A 20,378-nucleotide genomic window follows, 5' to 3' on the forward strand; every position below is an offset into this window, starting at 1 on the left:
TTTTCCCTATGGATGAGAACATGGTCTGCCTGACAGCAAGTTTAGTTCAAGAACCAGGAGAATCCAATATTTATAAACATATCCTTAAATATAAGCACTTTTTTATTATTATACTTTAAGTTCTAGGGTACAGGTGCACAACGTGCACATTTGTTACATAGGTATATACATGTGCCATGTTGGTTTGCTGCACCCATCAACTCGTCATTTACATTAGGTATTTCTCCTAATGCTATCCCTCCCCCAGCCCCCCCACCCCTGACAGGCCCCAGTATATGATGTTCCCCACCCTGTGTCCAAGTGTTCTCATTGTTCAGTTCCCACCTATGAGTGAGAACATGCGGTGTTTCGTTTTCTGTCCTTGTGATAGTTTGCTGAGAAAGATGGTTTCCAGCTTCATCCATGTCCCTGCAAAGGACATGAATTCATCCTTTTTTATGGCTGTACAGTACTCTATGGTGTATATGTGCCACATTTTCTTAATCCAGTTTATCATTGATGGACATTTGGGTTGGTTCCAAGTTTTTGCTATTGTGAATAGAAGCACATAGACTTTAACTGCATGTGTTTGCAGAATAGTAATGCAACCTCAGGTATAAAAAAGTGATGGCAGAGCAAGCCAAGAGCTTCTCAGATCTGTACAGACTTTGCTTTGTATGCATGCTGTCACCAGAAGTTCACCACTTGTTAGAGACTCTGGAGGCCAGGATCAAGTCTACAGATATAAAAACTGCACCTCGTCCCACCCTGTTGTGCTATCTGCTTCTCAAAGTTTCTGGATTCTTGGCTAGATAAATCAGGCACATAAGATAAGCACATGGTGGGTTTGAATCTATTTTTTCTTTGCTCATCCATCCACGACCCATCATAACTGCTGCAGCATACAAAACACTTGGCATAGTACAAAACACTTAGCATAGTACAAAACCCAGGAAGAGCACTCAGTCAGTGTTGGCACCTTCAAACCCTCCATTCCAGGGAGATAAGAGCATCATGGTTAGATTCTCTACTTTCTCATCACTTTTAGTTATTCAAACAGCATTATCAGGGTCTTAAAACTTAGATCTGGCCAGGCGCAGTGGCGCACACCTGTAATCCTAGCACTTAGGGAGGCCAAGGCGGGCGGATCACAGGGTCAAGAGATCGAGACCATCCTGGCCAACATGGTGAAACCCCGTCTCTACTAAAAATACAAATTAGCTGGGCGTGGTGGTCCATGCCTGTAGTCCCAGCTATTTGGGAGGCTGAGGCAGGAGAATCGCTCAAACCCAGGAGGCAGAGGTTGCAGTGAGCCAAGATCGCACCATTGCACTCCAGCCTGGCAACAGAGCAAGACTCTGTCTCAAAACAAACAAACAAACAAACAACAACAACAAAAAACTTAGACCTATTCATTTTGAAACAGCCACACCTTGTTCAATTCAAAGTTCTCTTCCTCCCAACCCTGCTGCCCAGCTCAGGCTGCTCTGGGGGCTCTGGTTGCCTAGGATGGAACAGTGGGATGGAGGGGGAAATGCAGCTGAAGAATGGTCTGCCCTTCACTTCTCTGCACTTAGTTTTCTGGTACTGGGATGTGGGACAGGGAAATGATAAGATCCCCAAGACAACCTCTCCAGATGTGGTCCCTCTGGCAAGCTCCTCTCCTGAATCCATGCTCCTTGTCCAGGGGTTGGACAAATTGGAAACACAAGGAACCTCACTGGCCAGTTATTCAGCCCCAATCAGCCCCTTCCACACCCAAAAAGCATTAGTAGCCCCTTTCAAAAACCCATTTCCTCCACCAGCTAGGGGCCTTGTGACTTGTTTTTCTCTGCACCCTTGACTGTGGTGACCCAGAAGCCCTGGAGCTCCTTCCTCTGTCCAACCTTATCTCTCCTCTGGAGACTTTGGCACATGAGGAATTGATTTTTTCTGCCTTTAGAGAAATGAGAACCTGAGGGAGATGTTCTTTCCCCTCTTTGTCTCCCTATCCTACCTCTGATCTCTCCCCACGGCTCAGCTACCACTGGGGTGGATCAGCATATCAAGAGGCTGAGGAGACATTCAGCTAGGGATGGAAATGACCATCTGCCCACCATAGTTTACAAGGCAGTTGTCTTGGGCACCACTTCAGTGCCTCTAGGGAGAAACTAGTTGGTGGCCTTCTCCTTGAGAGAGGGGCAGCCTTGCTTTAAATCTGAAGGATCTCCCCAAAAGCAACCTCTTTCCAGCTTCCAGTCTGCTTATATCTCTCCTCCCCAAGCAGCCCCAGGGTGGCCTCTACTGCACCCTGTGGTCAGTGGTGACAAGTGAGAGGGGCATCCTGTAGCCAGAAGTAGGACTTTCTTTGAATTCCAAAGGACTTGGATAACTTACACCTCCATAGTTCATTATCTCTGTGTCATAAATGAAAGTCAAGAGCAGGAAAAACCTCAGTCAGTACTTCACAACATCCTATCACACAGAAATGAGTTGTTGGCAAGGAAAAGACCCCCATTTGTCCCTAAAGACTTGCATCAAAGATGGGATCCCCTGCCCAAAGCAATTAGGGAAATTCCTACTAACAGAAGAGATGTAGAAACATCTGTTTCCCACTGATGTCAAGGCCAGGGGTGGAGGCGCTGGCCTAAAATAACCTTTCCTGGGCCAAACAGCCTAATGGGACATTTAACCTCTCTGAGACTCAATTTCCTGATCTGTAAAATGACAATTGAATTAGTCCATATGGCATTCCCAGTTCAGAGACTTTAAGAGTTAAGATAATGGAATGTGGTGATCCTGTATAAATAAAAGAAACAAGCAATTTTTTTAAAAGCTATTTGGAAACCCCCTTCACAATTTGTGACTAGAGATAGAATTCAGATTTATAACTGAAGATAATCTTTTCCTATCTCCCCAAATACTTGCAATTTACTTTTTGGCTTACTGTTATATTCTATTGTGGATAAGCCAAATGTATTTTGTTCTGATTACATGAAAGCAAAACCAAGTAACTACTCCAATTAGGTAAGTAAACTCATAAACCTAGAGCGGTACAGCAAAGATGTAAATGAAAACTCACAAAATGTAATAAAGGACTCTAGTGACAAATGGATAAAGAGCAATGATGTCTGTGTTCAGGACCATTAAAATGATCTTAAGACGAAAAGTGGAACCCAAGGGCAGACAGGACAGCAGGCCCCATGGGCACTGGCATCAGCAGCTGGGCCACCAGGACATCCCTCTTGCCAGCGACCCAGGCACATGGCCTCTTATCTCTACATATCTGCTTCCCTCTTATGAAGAGGGGGTGTGGGCAGAGTGGACAAACTGATGAAAAAGTCTGCTGCAAAGTGCAGCTCTCTCAGTGAGGCTTTTCCCTAACAACACTGAGTCTTGGGTTTTAGTTACTTGTGGTTCTGGTTTTAATAGACTTAGCTGCTGTGGGATGCCTAAGAAGCTTAAATTTTGGGTGCCTTAGGATCACCAGGAAGAAAAACAAACAAACCAATAAAGATTTGGATAACAAGAGAGAAGTTGATTGAAAACTGTCAACTCCCTGAAAGTTTTAAACCAGGCATGAAGCCTCCTGTGTCCCTCATTCATCATGTTTCTGAAGACAGTTGACCTGTTGACTTAAAGACATCATTTAAGAGAGTCAGCCAGAACTAATGACAGTGTGAAGACCTGCTAACCATGGTGAGTATTGAGAAAGAGCTAGCTCAATAAGAAAAAGTCAACCTTGGCCTATTACTCAGACATCTTTGGCTTAAAAAAAATAATTTCCAGATCTCACAATAATTTGGACCAGGAGTTAGAAGATCAGACCCTAGTCCAGGTTTGATGCTAATTTTTCAGAAACCTTTTTCCTGGAGCTATTTGGTTAATGCCCCAGAATCCCTTCCCTACTGCCTTCCTTGGCTAAATGTTTTGATGTTTTGGAGAGTGCTAGAATCCTTGTTTCATCACTTACCATCTATATGCCTTGTGTATGTGACTGAATCTCTCTAAGCTTTTCTCACTGTAAAGACTTAAATTGTTAGCTTTCTTTTTATGTCTATGCGATTTGTTATTTTTGTTATATTTTTTAACTCTTTAAGAGCAGTATTTCTCACCTATAATACTTTGTCCTGTATCTTCTACCACCATTAGCATAAAGCCAATCTGGGAGACTGTGCTCAATAAATGTTATTTTTTGATTTTGGCATAAATATTAATAATCATTTATTGCAAAGTCTCACTGGGCAAGATATTGAATCTGGTTACCACCTGAGGGGAGACAGGAAGGACAAACAAGAAATGAGCTTTTCCTTAAGGAAGGTTCAATTCATTATGGGACCAGACAGGTAGACATGCAGCAAACTACTTAGCCATCTTTCCTCTTCTCTCCCACACCATGTGACTCTAGGGAGCCATTTGGGAAGTAGAAACTGTTGGAACAGAGCTATTTTCTGGACAGACAATCCTGGCTTCCTGGATCCTGTTTCTACCGAGACACAGGAAGGGAGCTGCTGATGCTCATTCGATGCCCGTGCCCCATTTTCCTAAAACAAACCCATATTGGACATCAAAGAAGCTATGTAGTTCTTTTCTAAAACTTTCAGTTAGTTGCCTTAAAGGTCCCAACTAAAGGCTGGGTGTAGTGGCTCACACCTGAAATCCCAGCACTTCCAGAGGCTGAGGCGGGAGGATTGCTTGAGACCAGGAGTTTGAAATCAGCCTGAGGAGAATAAGAGACTCGGTCTCTATAAAAATAAAAACAAAACCATTAGCCTGCTGTGGTAGTGTGTGCCTGTAGTCCCAGGCTACTCAGGAGGCTGTGTGGGGAGGATCACTTGAGCTCAAAAGTTCAAAGCTGCAGTGAGCTATGATTACACCACTGCACTCCAGCCTGGTGATTGAGTGAGACCCTGTCCCTAAAAAAAGAAAACCAAAAAAGATCCCAAGTAGAACAAGCAGTGATAAGCAAGGATGTGATGAAGAAGAGAGTTATCCATGCCTTGTCCTTCTGGTCCCCCCATCCTCTAATCACCTTGCAGTCCTTACAGCCTGCGGGGACCTGGGGCCTCATGGTGGATGCCTCCCTCTCCCCAGCTCTCTCTTTCTTCTGGCCAATCCATGCTGATCTTGCAGAGTAGAAGGTGAGGTTGGGAGCATGAGTTCTGGTTTCCATGGATGAGGGGAGAGGATGCGGCTGAATGAGAACGGAGTGAAGGTAGAGGGACAGAAAAGACAGACTTCCATTTCAGGTTACCGTTAGCTTCCTCCTTAATATTTTAAAATCTGACACTATTCACCAGTAAGAGGACTTGTTTTCTTCTGGTAATACCCCAGTAGCCTATGTGAGCAGATCCTATTCCCATCTGAACAGAACTTTGGTCCTCATTCTTGTGAAATAATAACTCTGGACTTATGGAGCTCAGGGACTGTTTGTCCCTTCCATGCTCAGGGTTATCGTGAAGCTCTCTGGTGTTAACTGACAATGAGGAATCCTGTTATCCCTAATTTCTCCCCTTCCCAGGTGGAGGAAAGGAGGCAGAGAAGAGTAAAGATCCAGCCAACCTCGTAACAATGAAATACAAGTGCTAATGTTAATTCTAGCAGTATCCTTCTATAGGAGTCCAAGAAATGTTTGTCCCCTGAGACACTGTGAAGATATTAGCAGATAGTTGAATCTGAATGTTAATTACACTGCCTTCTTCATGATTTCTAGAGAAACTGCTCGAGTGACACTTTCCTATATTCTGAGAGTACAGCACAAATCCAGTGTAATTGTTTTATTCATTTCTACCACTCCCTATCTTAGACTGCTAGCCAATTGGTGGCAAAGCCTGCCCTATCACCACTAGCAACTAAGGGCATTCAACCTTCCAACTTGCCTCTGGCATACAACATTTGTAAAAAGAAAAGAGTAATCTTTCGTCTCCATTGTAAGTGTTTAATTGGTTCAACAGCATCCTCCCTACCCCTCAAGCTCTCGGAGTTAAATATAAATTCAGTCCGTGATTGATGTGACAAAATATATACAAAGACAAATAAAAGACAGATTGCCTTTCAGGTCTGAAGCAGCAAGGCCCAGGAATTCTAGCAACATTGGCTTGTCTGAAACAGCACAGAGTGAATAGTATTATCATAACCAAGAGGGGTCAGAATAGCTGGACAACAGTAGCTGTATAAAAGGAAAGTGCAGGAAGCAAGCACCTGCAATTTGTCTCCAGGGCTGACCCACAGATGTGATTTATCTGTTCCTAGTTGCACTGACAGATGATTCAGCCCTTAAGAGCCCAAAGCCATAAAATACTTGAACCATACACACAAATTCCTTTGTTCTGATTTTATTCTCCGTAAGCAACTGACAAATTACGATTTGATTTCCCATTTATTTTTCAATGGTTCACTTTGTTCTAAAAAGTTTATAAGGGGCTTATAAAAGTGTATATGCTTCAGTTTAAAAGTTAAAATTGAATGTAAATGGACACGGTGGGTTGTGGTTTTGCCTGCCTCATATCCATTTTACCCTTATTATTTTCTCTGGGGAAATGATCTACCTCTCAGGTGGAACTGGTACCATTTCATCACAAGCTCTGAGTGAAGGCATGTAATCCACACCTGCCCTATCGGTAAATTCCATCCATCTGGTCGCAGTGGCTTGGCCAAGTGACTCACAGAAACTCAATCCTGGGGACTTTGTCAAAATGATGGGGAAAGAGAAGCTCTTCTTCCACTGGAACTTTTTTTTTTTTTTTTGAGACAGATCCTCCCTCTGTCCCCCAAGCTGGAGTACAGTGGCTCGATCTCAGCTCACTGTAGCCTCCGCCTCCTGGATTCAAGCAATTCTCATGTGTCAGCCTCCTGAGTAGCTGGGACTACAGAAATGCACCATCACCACACGTGGTTAATTTTTGTATTTTTAGTAGAGATGGGGTTTCATCATGTTGCCCAGACTGGTCTCAAACTCCTGACCTCACGTAATCTGCCCTCCTTGGCCTCCCAAAGTGCTGGGATTACAGGTGCGAGCCACTACACCCGGCCTCCGCTGGCACTTCTAACTGTAGGACAATAGCCTGGTGCTGCCAGAGCCCCCGGGCAGGGAGGCAGGAATCTGAGAATGGAGTCAACACAGAAGAGAGAAGAGCTCTGAGATGGAGAGAGAGACAGCTTATAGCTGAAATGTGAGATTTTTTCATTTTGTTTGTTTTTTAGTTCCCAGATCCAGCCATGGCTGAAGCTAGATTGATTCCTGGGATTTCTTAGTAGATATCATAGATTCTCTCTCTTTTTTTTTTTTCAATTATGTTGAGTTTCTGACCTGGCTGAAGGTCCTGATTAATTCAGTATATGAGAAAAGTAGGGTGAAAAAAAAATAGTGAAGAAAAAAATGAAGCTAGTAGTCAAGTGAGCACACATTCACAAAAATGTTTGCCATGAATTCCAGGATACTTGCTGGTACAGGCTGATCCGTCTACTCAAACTTCACAGCCATCAGTACAGGGCAAAAGCTGCTTAGTCATGTTGGCCAGAGTGTCCACAAGATTAAAACTCACCCAGATGCTCAGAAGAAATAAAACTATATTCCCGATTATGATACTTGAAAAAAAATTCTACCTTGGGCTGCTTGTAAGGAAGATGCTGTGTAAAATGGTGATTCACACCCTCAACCATATTCCTACAATAAATGTGACAATGAATTAATGGATTTCATGGGATTGTTTCTTATAACATCCTGATGACAAAACACCAAAGCACAGTTTAATGAGAGCAGTTTTAAAGTCGGGAAATGATGCAGGCCACTTGTGTAGTCACTGCTAGAATGGTTAGTCAGAACAAAGGTGACACCTGCAGGATAAATGAGTGCAGGCTTGATATGGTTTGGATCTGTGTCCCTGCCCAAATCCCATGTTGAATTGTAATCTCCAATGTTGGAGGAAGGGCCTGGTGGGAGGCGACTGGATCGTGGAGGCAGATTTCCCGCTTTGTGCTGCTCTCATGATAATGAGTGAGTGCTCATAAAATCTGGTTGTTTAAAAGCTTGTAGCGGGCCAGGCGCGTTGGCTCACGCCTGTAATCCCAGCACTTTGGGGGCCGAGGCGGGCGGATCACGAGGGCAGGAGATCCAGACCACGGTGAAACCCCGTCTCTACTAGAAATACAAAAAATTAGCCAGGCGTGGAGGCTGGCGCCTGTAGTCCCAGCTACTCGGGAGGCTGAGGCAGGAGAATGGCGTGAACCCGGAAGGCGGAGCTTGCAGTGAACAGAGATGGCGCCATTGCACTCCAGCCTGGGTGACAGAAAGACTCCGTCTCAAAAAAAAAAAAAAAAAAAAAAAAAAAAAAAAAAAAAAAGGCGTGTAGCACCTCCCTGCTCTCTATCTTGCTCTTGCTGCGGCCATCTAAGATGTGCCTGCTTCTCTTTCACCTTCCACCGTGATTGAAAATTTCCTGAGTCCTCCTGACAAGCCGCTCTGCATCCTGTACAGCTTGCAGAACTGTAAGCCAATTACACCTCTTTTCTTTATAAATCACCCAGTCTCAGATATCTTTTTATAGCAATGCAAGAATAGACTCATACAAGGCTGTACCCCTAGGTGACCGAATGCTTTAGGGCCATAAAGCCACTTAAAAATTCATTTGCTTTGAGCAGCTGATCTAAGTCTTATATTCTATGGCAATTAGTTGACAGGAATCTTTGTCTATTGAAGCCATTTTTTACTCTTACTCTGATTCCAGAAAACCACATCTCAAGCAAAGAAAAGGTTGTTTGTTGGCCGGGCGCGGTGGCTCACGCTTGTAATCCCAGCACTTTGGGAGGCTGAGGAGGGCGGATCACGAGGTCAGGAGATTGAGACCATCCTGGCTAACATGGTGAAACCCCGTCTCTACTGAAAATCCAAAAAAAAAAAAAAAAAAAAAAAAAAAAAAATTAGCCGGGCGTGGTGGCGGGCGCCTGTAGTCCCAGCTACTCAGGAGGCTGAGGCAGGAGAATGGCGTGAACCTGGGAGGGGGAGCTTGCAGTGAGCAGAGATCGCGCCACTGCACTCCGGCCTGGGCGACAGTGAGACTCCGTCTCAAAAAAAAAAAAAAAAAAACAAAGGTTGTTTGTCTTTCTCTTTCTTATGAGGGGAGTGGGCTTCCCATCTAGTTTTCCTAGAAGAAATCCCTCTCTGAGTTAAAAGAGCCTTCCTGCCTACAATCTGGCTGAGATAGAACATTTTTCATTTGTTTGTTTGTTTGCTTTAATCTTATGACTGTCACCACTGAGTGACTAGCATACAAGCAGGCCCTGTGGAGTTGAAGGACAGTTCAGGCAGCCCCTGCTTGCTTACATAAAGTGTTGGAAAACACACCGGAGTTGGACATGTGATAATCACACGGAAGTATATGTAATAAAAGTTTTCTGTTCCTACTGAGATGGAAAAGTCTATAAAGTCCCTAATAACACTTGACCCTCTGGATGCAATTTTGGAAGCTGGGTTTCTAGCATTTTGTATGTCCAACCAATTCTTCTTATTTATATGAACATTATTCATTTAAAAAAAAGTATGAAAAGTTCATTTTAATAATCGCAAATTTTAATTTGTTCCTTTTCTCTCTTGACTGGTATTTCCATTCCATTTCTTCTGTATAATTTCATCCTAATATATTTTTAAATTTGAAAGTTCTTTTGTTGATAGTTATCTTGAACAAATATACTTCTGTCAATTGAAATTCATTATTTTTATTCTTGTGACTGTAAAGTTCTTAGTGTTAAAATTTTCATCGGGATTCAGTTAACATACAATAGATATTAAAACCTGATTGATCAAAACAACAGAACTGTATTATAAATTTTAGTGAGTACTTATTAAACATAAGAAATAAAATTTTATTGAATAGTCCTTTCTTACTGAAACTTAACAGGACTGTTTTTACAGTTGGTTTGTATATTTATGGATAAATATCACTTATTGCTAGAATAAGAGGATTCAACATCAATTCTATTTCTCAGTTTTGTTTTTATAAATATAAGCATTAAGAAACTTGGTTTACATAAATAATTAGAAGGAAATTAGATGGAAAACATTTTGCTTTCTCAATGCCACTTAATCATTTGAGTGCCTTCTAAGTTATATTCAGAAAATCACATAGTGATCCATGTTAAAGTAATTTTTAATGATCTTTGAAAAAAATATTTGGCCCTCTTTTAATTTTCCTGAAGCAAATCATTAAACACCATAATGCTTGGGAAACACCATAATGCTTGGGAAAAGATTTTTTTAAAATCCTGTCATTAAAGTCATTTACTTTTGAAATATTTTATTTTTAATTGCCCCATTTTTCCAGCCCTAGACTTTTTTATACCCACAGTAAGTTCAGGCTGAGTGAGTGGCATGTTCATAAGAGAAGCACGACTGTGACAGGGGAATGGGAAATGGAGAACCAGCGTAATGTCTCCATTGCAGGTAAATTTCATACGGAAATTAGGTATCTGGAAAAAGATTCCCTTAAAACTGATTCTTTATACCCTTATATCCTTAAAAGGCCTCATGTACCTCAGGAGGCCTGTGTATCTCAGTTTGAGGGCCAATATTCTCGTAGAGACAAAAATGTATAAAAATATATACAATGTGATACTTCTTGATACTAAAAAAAAAATGCTATAAAAGGAAGCATATGGTAAAAACCTGGAGGGAGAGTGCTATGTGAGATAAGGCAATGAGAGAGGCCCCTGTGAGAGGGGCTGCCTAACCTGAGCCTGAAGGATGAGCATAGTTGTTTTGCAGAGCTGGTCAGGCATGTTGTAAGTGGGAGGAACAGCATGTGCAAAGGTCCTGTTGGAAATAAGCTTGGCATGTTTGAGTGGCAGAAAGAGGATCTGTGGGGCTGGAGCATGATGACCAAGGGGAAGAGTGGAAGAAAGTGAGGTCCAGAAATGGGCAAGGCCATATTTATGAGGCCCTGAGGGAGCTGCACATTATTTTCAGCATGATTCAAAGCCATCTGAGGTTTTAAGCAGGAGAATGACAAGAGCTGAGTTTTGCTTTAGAAATATCTTTCTGGGTGCTGTGAGGTAGGGGCAGTGGATGATAGGGAAGTAAAAATAAGCTAGCAAGTTGCAAGATAGCTATAGACTACTGCTGTCATCCACGAGGGAAGTGACTGCAGCTTAGAACAGGGGACAACACTGAGGCTGATAAGAAGAACTCAATTTAGGAAAGCATTTGGAGAAAAAGCCAACGAGAATTGCTGATGGGTTGCATATGCAGTGTGAAGAAAGAAAAATAATCTACCTGTAGAATAAATTCTAGAGGTGGAATTGCTTAATCATGTCTATGACATATTTTAAAAAAAAAACATAAACTGAAGTGCTGGGCAGATATTTTGGACGACACACTAAGTGATCAAGAACTCCAGTCTGAAAATCTACCTGGATAAGCAGTGATATGGACCCTACTCATGGGCCATTTTTCCATATCACCATACATGCCCCAGGCACTGAAAACTGCCAAATAAACCTTCTTAAAATGAGGTCCATTTTCAAGGAACAACTCTTATTGACACAGTTCTGATCAGTCCAAAGTGTGCAACTATCTAGTCTTAAGTATGTTTTATTTAAATAATGCCAGTAGGGAGTTGTGAAGCTAAAATTAATGTTTTGAAACTATCCATAATTTTTTTAAATGAATTTTTTATTAACCTTGCAAGAGACGTGATCTAAATTTTTATCCTTTTCTTGCTATAGAACATATTATAAAATTGTTGTAACACAAAAAGGCAATCAAAGAGCAAGCAGCCAAAGGGTAGGAAAGAAGTATTATAGGTATTATAGAGAGTTGTCAGGCAGGTAATTAATAAAATTTAATTTTATCTTGCTTGACTTTGTGATTATTGTGGTATTTTTCAGTAATTAAAAATTTGTAATTCATTGTAGTTTCCTTTTCTCAGACTAAACAAATACTTTCATACTAAATATGTATTTAAATTTTGTATTTTTTATGTGAAAGAGGGCTCCCCAAATTGTTTAAGCTTCAGGACCATAAAACCTGGACCTGCTCCTGGCAAGTGTCATCACTTAATAACATAGGAAAGACTTGACATGGAGCAAATGATTGTTGTTGTTTGGGGAGATGTAATGTAGGGGGCAATTAATAGGGCTTTTTTGGCTTGGTTAAGCTAGAAATGTCCATTTACCATCTTAATGGATGTAGGCAGTTGGATAAATGGGTCTGGAGCTCAAGAGTTCTGGGTTGGACATGTAAGTTTTGGGTATAATTAGTGCATAACTTTAAGAGACTGTGAAGATTCCTAAGGTAAGAGTTTATAGAGAAGGAAAAGAAGAGAAGAGGATTCCTGACAAAGCTCTGAGGTCTTCAACATTTAGAAATTTAGTATAAAAACAGAATCAGCAAAGAGGGCCAAGCAGCAGCAGGCAATGCCATAGGAGGGAAACTAGGCAGGTGGTAGCCCAGAAACCTTGATAAAGGATTCCATGGAAGAAGGGGAGTCAGTCAGGCCAAGCCCAGCTGGGAGGTTGTCTTAGTTCATTTAATGTTGCTATAACAGAATACCTGAATCTGGGTAATTTATAAAGAAAGAAGTTTATTTAGCTCATGGTTCTGGTGGCTGGAAAGTCCAAGATTGGGCAGCTGTATCTGGTGAGGGGCTTATGCTTCTATAACTCATGGCAGAATGCAGAGCAGAAGAAAGCACATGCAAACAAAGAGGCCATGCAGGAGGAGTAATCTCACTTTATAACAACCTGCTATTGCAGGAACTAATCCATTCCTAAGAGAGTGAGAACCTACCCACGACATTAATCTATTCATGAGGGATTTGCTCCCATGAGACAAACACCTCCCACTAGGCCCCATCTCCCAATACAACTGAACTGGCAGTTAAACTTCAACATAAGTTTTAGTGAGGACAAACCACATCCAAACCATAGCAGAGGTCAAGAAAGTCAAAGGTGGGGTTGGTCAAAAGCCTCAGCCATTGGTGACTCTGACATGTGCCATTTTCTTAGAGTGGTGGATGAACAACTCTGGAGAGAATTTAGGATAGTCTTGGAGGTAAGGAAGCAATGGACCGGGTGCAGTGGCTCCCACCTGTAATCCCAGCACTTTGGGAAGCCGAGGTGGGCAGATGACCTGAGGTCAGGAGTTCGAGACCACCCTGACCAACATGGTGAAACTCCGTCTCTTCTAAAAATACAAAATTAGCCAGGCATGGTGGTGCATGCCTGTAATCCCAGCTACTCAGGAGGCTGAGGCAGGGGAATCGCTTGAACCTGGGAGGCAGAGATTGCAGTGAGCCGAGGTCACGCCATTGCACTCCAGCCTGGGTAACAGTGTAAGACTCTGTCTCAAAAAAAAAAAAAGAAGAAGAAGAAGAAAAGGAAAAGAAAAAGAGAAAGGAAGCAATGACAGTGGATATATTCATCCTGCTTGAAAGTATGGCTGCAAAGAAGAACAGAAAAGGGTGGTAGGAGCTGGAGGAGGTGTGGGTCCAAGGGGTGAATTTGGTTTTGGTTTTTTAATGAATAATATTAAGCATATTTATTTGCAAATGGAAATGAACCACTAGCAAGGAAAAACTGATATTGCAGGAAAGAATGGGGATAATTGCAGAATGATCTAGAGTTTGAATGGAAGCCTTTGCCTGATCCATTTTCTCTATACAACATGGAGAGAATTTGGAATCACAAAATGACTATTCTGACTATCGGGGATGGGGCACAGGAGAAGGAGTAATAAAGATTTGAGGTGAGAAAAGAAATGTGAGGTATTCTTGAAGGGAAACATGACTTTGCTGTTTCTATACTTTATTACAAAATTATAAACTCTTTAGGGGAGGCCCTGTGTGTTATACATTTATGGAAACCCCATAGAGTCAGCATAGCATCTTGCATACTCTAGGACTTCAATGCGCTCCTGTTGAGTAGGTGGATGGGTTGGATGGATGAGAAGTGCCTTGTAGGAATCCAAAGGAATAAATTAAAAGACTTCATCAAATGGGGGAAATTTCGAGTGATGAGGAGGATTCCAGATAGGAGGGTGGCATGAGTAAAGGTGCAAGTGTAGCTTCTCCTGGGAGGACTGTGCCTGGATCTGAGGAGAGATATGTGTGTTTGAGATGATGGGAGATGCATTCATATGTGTTGGTGGGATAAGCCCAAATAGGTTATGCCTTGCAAGTGATGTTAAAGACTTTGGATTAGCATGTGATTAGCATGTAATGCGGTATCCAGGTTGAGATTTTTTGGAACTTAGTTAATACAGCCTGGACAAACAGAACATTTAAAGCCACAAGTAGTTTTCAGTCATTCAAAATATAGAAATTTAAACTAGAAAGATAAAGACTTCTGTTTTTAGGGATATCATCTCAAGAAGTCTACAGTACGAAAATGTAAAATAAATACTACTTTCTAAAATGCAGCTACTATTACCCCAAGAGGCTGGAGATTAGCCTAGAAAGTACCATTATTAGACCAATGTGTTATCATTCAATTGCCTGGTAGGGAGTGGGGCACAGAGGAACATGTAAAACCCCAATAGACGGAGGGTGGTGTTTCTCTTGAAAGGAGTGAACATCACCACTGTCAATTGCCCTGGGAAGAAGTAGATCCTATGACAGGAAGTAAGGATTGAGAAGGTAGACTACAGACTAGAGAGGAGGAGAAACTCATCTCTTTCTGTGGGCCTCTGGTGATGAGCCTGATCAGGCTTTGAGTACTTTCAGTGGTGGGCATGAGCGTGTACTTTGTAAGCAGGTCAACATTTAGGCAGAAGGCAGTGGGTTGGCCTGCAGATTCAGAGAAATCACATCTAAGTTCTCTAAGTTCTCTTCTTGTGCTTCCCCAACCCTTGAGTCCATTTCAATTCACTTTCAGCCTGGCCTAAGCAAGGTGGTAGGGAGAGAAGAACATGCCTGGGACATGTTTGGGTCCTGGTGGTGAAGGGCAGAGCAGAGCCCTTTCCTGAGGCCTGAATGGTAAAAGCATCATACATGTCACCATGCGCCACAGGGCAGTGATCCCTTGGGACCACAGGCAGTAGTGGCAAGGGCATGAAGTATCATTATTAAACATAAGAGTCTGTCATAGGGGATTTTCTGAAATAACTGAGGGAAACTCTACAAGAGCAGGTGGTAGCCAAAGTCATAGTTTAGCAATTTAATGAAAAAATTCTTAGTGTTTAAGCAGGTGATGATAAGTCAGTCCTCTATCTCCACTCCCTGAATTTGGAACCTTTAGAGATTTAGATACAGGAGACTAAAGATGAAAACGTCAACTTTATTACTACTAGCACTGGCTTGGAAATTGTCATATACACACAGTAAACAACCAGACAGCAGACACACTCGCTCTGTTGGGGCAATATTCCTGGGGGAGACCACAAAGACAAGAATAGCAGCAGGTGTGTGGATCCCCAGTGCCCACTGCCTTCTAAAGAAGAACAAAGTGATCGGTGGAATCAGACATCAACTTTCAGGAAAGGGACTCTGCCCTTTGGGCTGAGAAATTTTAAAGCTGCATTAATAAAGAAATGCCAAGCCCTCCTCTGGAGTAAGTAGAGGTCACAGTACAGTATAAGGATAATATAAGGTTCTGGCATGGCAGCTCAGGGATTGTGGCTGGAGGAACATGAGCTCCTCCCATTGCATAACCAGAAAGCTAGGTCTATGCCTGGCCATTGCTGCTGTGTACTGTGGCAACTTCACAGTGTGAAGGAAAAATATCTTGGGCTCCCTAAATCACTAAGCTAAAGGGAAAAGTCAAGCTGGAAACTGCTTAGGGCAAACCTGCCTCCCATTCTATTCAAAGTTATCCCTCTGCTCACTGAGATAAATGCATATCTGATTGCCTCCTTTGGAGAGGCTAATCAGAAACTCAAAAGAATGCAACCATTTGTCTCATATCTACCTATGACCTGGAAACTCGCTCCCTGTTTTGAGTTGTCCCACCTTTCCAGACCAAACCAATGTTCATCTTACATATGCTGATTGATGTCTCATGTCTCTCTAAAATGCATAAAACCAAACTGTGCTCTGACAACTTTGGGCACATGTCAGGACCTCCTGAGGCTGTCACAGGCACGTGTGCTCAACCTTGCTTGGTAAAATAAACTTTCTAAATTAACTGAGACCTGTCTCAAATTTTCTGGGTTCACATTAGCATGACCTGTTCCCCCAGCATTCATGATTGGGAAGCCACTGCCTTTCTCCTGGCCTGCTCAGGAGGCTAGGTCCAACCCTTGGGATTCACTGGGATTGGCTGCCTTCCACCCACAGCTATAATTCATTTCCAAGGAGCTTTGCATCCAGCTCCTTTTCTAGAAGGCTGATGAGTGAGAATCAGTCTTGGACACATTAGGGCTTACCTTTCTGAGCCACCCCAAATGAGCTTCCCACACCTTCTTCCCAAATTGTCCTCACCTTCTCAGATCTGCAGGCCTTCCAGTGCAGAGGGAAGATCTGCCTAAGTAAGTTTACTGGTTAGAGGAGCAGAAAATGTATGTGTCCTGAAGCAAGATGCTGTGAAAGAGAAAACCCAGAAAAGGCTAAACCTCAGTCCTTCTTCCAAATCATCAGCTTAGTCATTCACCTACCCTTGGAGAGGGGAGCAAAGGATAGAGAAGCTGTCAGAAATATTCTAGTTTTTCCTCCTGGGGAGGGAAGCACAAGTTTCTTGTCCTCTATGGAAATGTGCAGCAGCTTTGGATCAAAAATAAACTGGACATGGATGGATGGTGGTGATGGCTTCACAACAGTGTGAATGTAGTAAACACCACCGAACTGTACACTAAAAACTGGTTAAAATAGTACATTTTATGATATTTACTACAATTACCCAATCACTGTAAAAAAGGAACTGGATCTAATCATGCTTTTGATTTTATTTTTGCTTTGTTTTGAATAGTTAATATATTCATATGATTTTAAATGTAAAAAACACAAATGGCCCCTTCATAATCTTTTCCTAGCTAATGCAGTTTCTTCTTCAGAGGCAAACAATAAAAACAGCATTTTCATATTCTTCCAGAGATATTTTACGCATTCTCTAGCAAATACATGTTTTAAAAATTTTTGACACAAATGGTATTGTATGTTACACACTGTTCTGCAATTTGCATTTTAACTTAATGAAATTTCTTGGGGAATGCTCCATATCAGTGTATCAGAGTTCCAGCATTCATAGAGCTATACGTTTTCCTAGAGCACAGATTTCCGTAGTTGGCTTAACCAGTCCCCCTTATGTGCAAATATAGATGTTTTTACTCTTTTGTTGTTCCAAACAGTGAATATCCTCTTATGTGTGTCATTTCTCATATTTATCTACTCATAAGATAAATTCATAGACATGGAATTGTCCAATCTTGGTTTTAATAGTTTTCATTATAGGCCAACTTGACTTTAATGCTGTTGAGTAGACATTTGGAATGCAGTACTAACTGACCAAGACCTCTAATCTAACAAGCTATCCAGAAAACTGATGATGTCTTTCTTACTCACAGATCATTGTTCCAGTTTCATATGTGCACTAAGGTGGGAAAACTGTCAAACAGACCCCAAGAAAATAATGTCCATTTTCAAAAAGCAACTCTTTCTGGCAGAGGTCTGATTAGCCCATAACACATAACTATCTGATTATAAATGAGCTTTCTTAAAATAATTTTTAATATTTTTTCCCACTGTAATTTTTCCATGTTTCTATGTATGCTATACATTTTTGTTTTGTAACAATTAAAGGGCCCTGACAGGTTAGCCAGAGAAAGTAATATTTATTATCTGTATATTAAGATGAGAAAACAAGGAACATAGGCCAAGGGAAGTTTCCACTTGTCCAAAGTCACCCAGCAAGTTAGTGGGAGAGCCTGAACTAAAATGCAGGTCACAACCTAATCCCATGCTCTGTTCACTGATCCATATTTGTCCTTTTTGCCAGTTCTCAAAAGTAAGTGAGCTGTTCCTAAACCTATTGGGTCTAGAAGTGGTCTCAGTTTATGGGCAGCTGACGATGTCTCACTATGAAGAACTTGTCCTGATGGTGTGCAGCTGCTGAAGATGTATAGCAGGGATCTTCCATGGGAGGTCCAAGAAGGCTGATATCTTCCAGGCTTGCCTATAGGTATATGTGGCTCACATGCCAAGATGGGAACAAGTAAGTCTGAGCTTGGAGAACGTTTGATACTGCTAAGCAGAGAAGAACCAGGGGTGAGTGAATTTTGTGCAATGGGGAAGAATTCTTCACATTGTGTGTACCAAAATGCTATGAACTATTAATATAGTCATGCTTTGCATAACGATGTTTCAGCCAACAATAGATCACATATACTATGGTGGTCTCATAAGATTATACTGGAGCTGAAAAATTCCTCTTGTCTAGTGAAGTAGCCGTCATAACGTAGTACACAATGCATTATTCATGTGTTTGTGGTGATGCTGGTGTAAACAAACCTACTGCACTGCCAGTCATATGAAAGTGTAGCACATACAATTATGTACAGTACATAATACTGGATGATGATAATAAACGACTGTGTAACTGATTTATGTATTTACTATGCTATCCTTTTTATTGCAATTTTAGACTGTGCTCCTTCTACTTATAAAGGAATAAAATTAACTGTAAAGCATCCTTGGGCAGGTCCTTCAGGAGGTATTCCGGAAGAGGGCATTGTTATCATAGGAGATGACAGCTCCATCCTGTTACTGCCCCAAAGACCTTCCAGTGGGACAAGATGTGGAGGTAGAAGACAGTGATATTAATGATCCTGACTCTGCGTAGGCCTAGGCTAATGTGTGTGTGTCTTAGTTTTTAAAAAAGTTTAAAAAGTAAAAGACAATTTAAAAATTTTTATTAGAATAAAGCTTACAAAATAAAGATATAAAGAAAGAAAATATTTTTGTTCAGCCATAGAGTGTTTGTGTTTTAAGCTTAGTGTTATTACAAAAGGTTCAAAACTTTCAAAAAATTTAAAAGTTTATAAAGTAAAAAGTTATAGTTGGCTGAGTGCGGTGGCTCACACCTGTAATCCCAGCACTTTGGGAGGCTGAGGCAGGTGGATCGTGAGGTCAGGAGTTCGAGACCAGTCTGGCCAACACGGTGAAACCCCATCTCTACTAAAAATACAAAAATTAGCCAGGTGTGGTGGTGGGTGTCTGTAATCCCCACTACTCAGGAGGCTGAGGCAGGAGAATTGCTTGAACCCGGGAGGCAGAGGTTGCAGTGAGCTGAGATGGTGCCACTGCACTCCAGCCTGGGCGACAGACCAAGACTCTGTCTCAAAAAAAAAAAAAAGTTATAGTTTAATTTTTAAGGTTAATTTATTATTGAAGAAAAATTTTTAATGAGTTTAGTGTAGCCTAGGTGTACACTAGGTGTTTATAGAGTCTACGATAGTGTACAGTCATGTCCTAGGCCTTCACATTCACTCATCACTCACTAACTCACACAGAGCAACTTCTGGTCCTGCAAACTCCATTCGTGTTGAGTGTCCTATGTAGGTGTATTACTTTATATCTTTTGTACTATATTTTTACTGTATTTTTTCTTTGTTTAGAAATGTTTGGATACACAAACACTAGTGTGTTACAATTGCCTACAGTATTCATTCAGTACAGTAACATGCTGTTGCAACCTAGAAGCAATAAGCTACACCATATAGCCTAGGTGTGCAGTAGGCTACACCATCTAGCTTTGTGTAAGTACATTCTTTGAAGCTTGCACGATGACAAAATTGCCTAATGACACATTTCTCAGAACATAACTCCATCATTAAGCTACATAACTTAAACCCCTGCTATGCAATGAAACTCAGGTAGCATATTAAAAAATAGATAACTCAAGCATTGCATACAGAGAAGCCATTCTTGGAACACCAGACAATAAGCATTGCATTAGATCAGAGCAGTTCTGGGCACATCTATGGTCAACAAGAAATATTCTCAAAGTCTGAACTTTGAGCTATAGTAGACAGACAAACTAAGAATTCCTCAAAGTTAGTATTTCCAACCGTGATGTAAGAGTCTATTCTGAGTGTTGTGACAAACTATCTCCAGATCTCGCTAGAGTAACACAATAAAGGTTTGTTTCTCACCCATCACAGTCGGGTATGGCTGTATGAGGGAGGCGTGAGGAAGGATCTGCTCCTCGCCCATCACAGTCGGGTATGGCTGTATGAGGGAGGCGTGAGGAAGGCTCTGCTCCATGCATTCATGGAAGTGGCCTTGATCACCAGCCTAGCACTTCACTGGCAGGGCTCAGTCAATGACATCTAGTGGCTGGGAAGCTCGGAAATGAGCTTTCCTTTGTGCTCAGAAGTAGGACTTGGGCGAACACATAGCAGTATCTCTGCTCCATCCACATAAACGGGCTCAGAACTTAAATGGAAAGAGACGCTGAAGAGGGCATCAAATATATGAGAACTGGAACAGGGAAAGGAA

At 41.7% G+C, this 20,378-nt stretch overlaps 2 long non-coding RNA genes across 2 annotated transcripts in view; both read left to right on the plus strand.

Annotated features, from left to right (window-relative positions):
- XLOC_008559 (uncharacterized LOC105378427) overlaps positions 1 to 20,378 on the plus strand; it is a 44,833-nt gene that overhangs the window by 15,398 nt on the left and 9,057 nt on the right. The window lies entirely within an intron of this gene.
- On the plus strand, positions 3,325 to 18,579 carry LOC107984252 (uncharacterized). Its single transcript, XR_001747547.2, has 3 exons — positions 3,325 to 3,657; positions 17,878 to 18,146; positions 18,523 to 18,579. It is a non-coding gene; the product is annotated as an uncharacterized LOC107984252 (long non-coding RNA).

Source organism: Homo sapiens, chromosome 10, assembly GCF_000001405.40.
Source record: "Homo sapiens chromosome 10, GRCh38.p14 Primary Assembly".
NCBI lineage: Eukaryota > Metazoa > Chordata > Mammalia > Primates > Hominidae > Homo > Homo sapiens.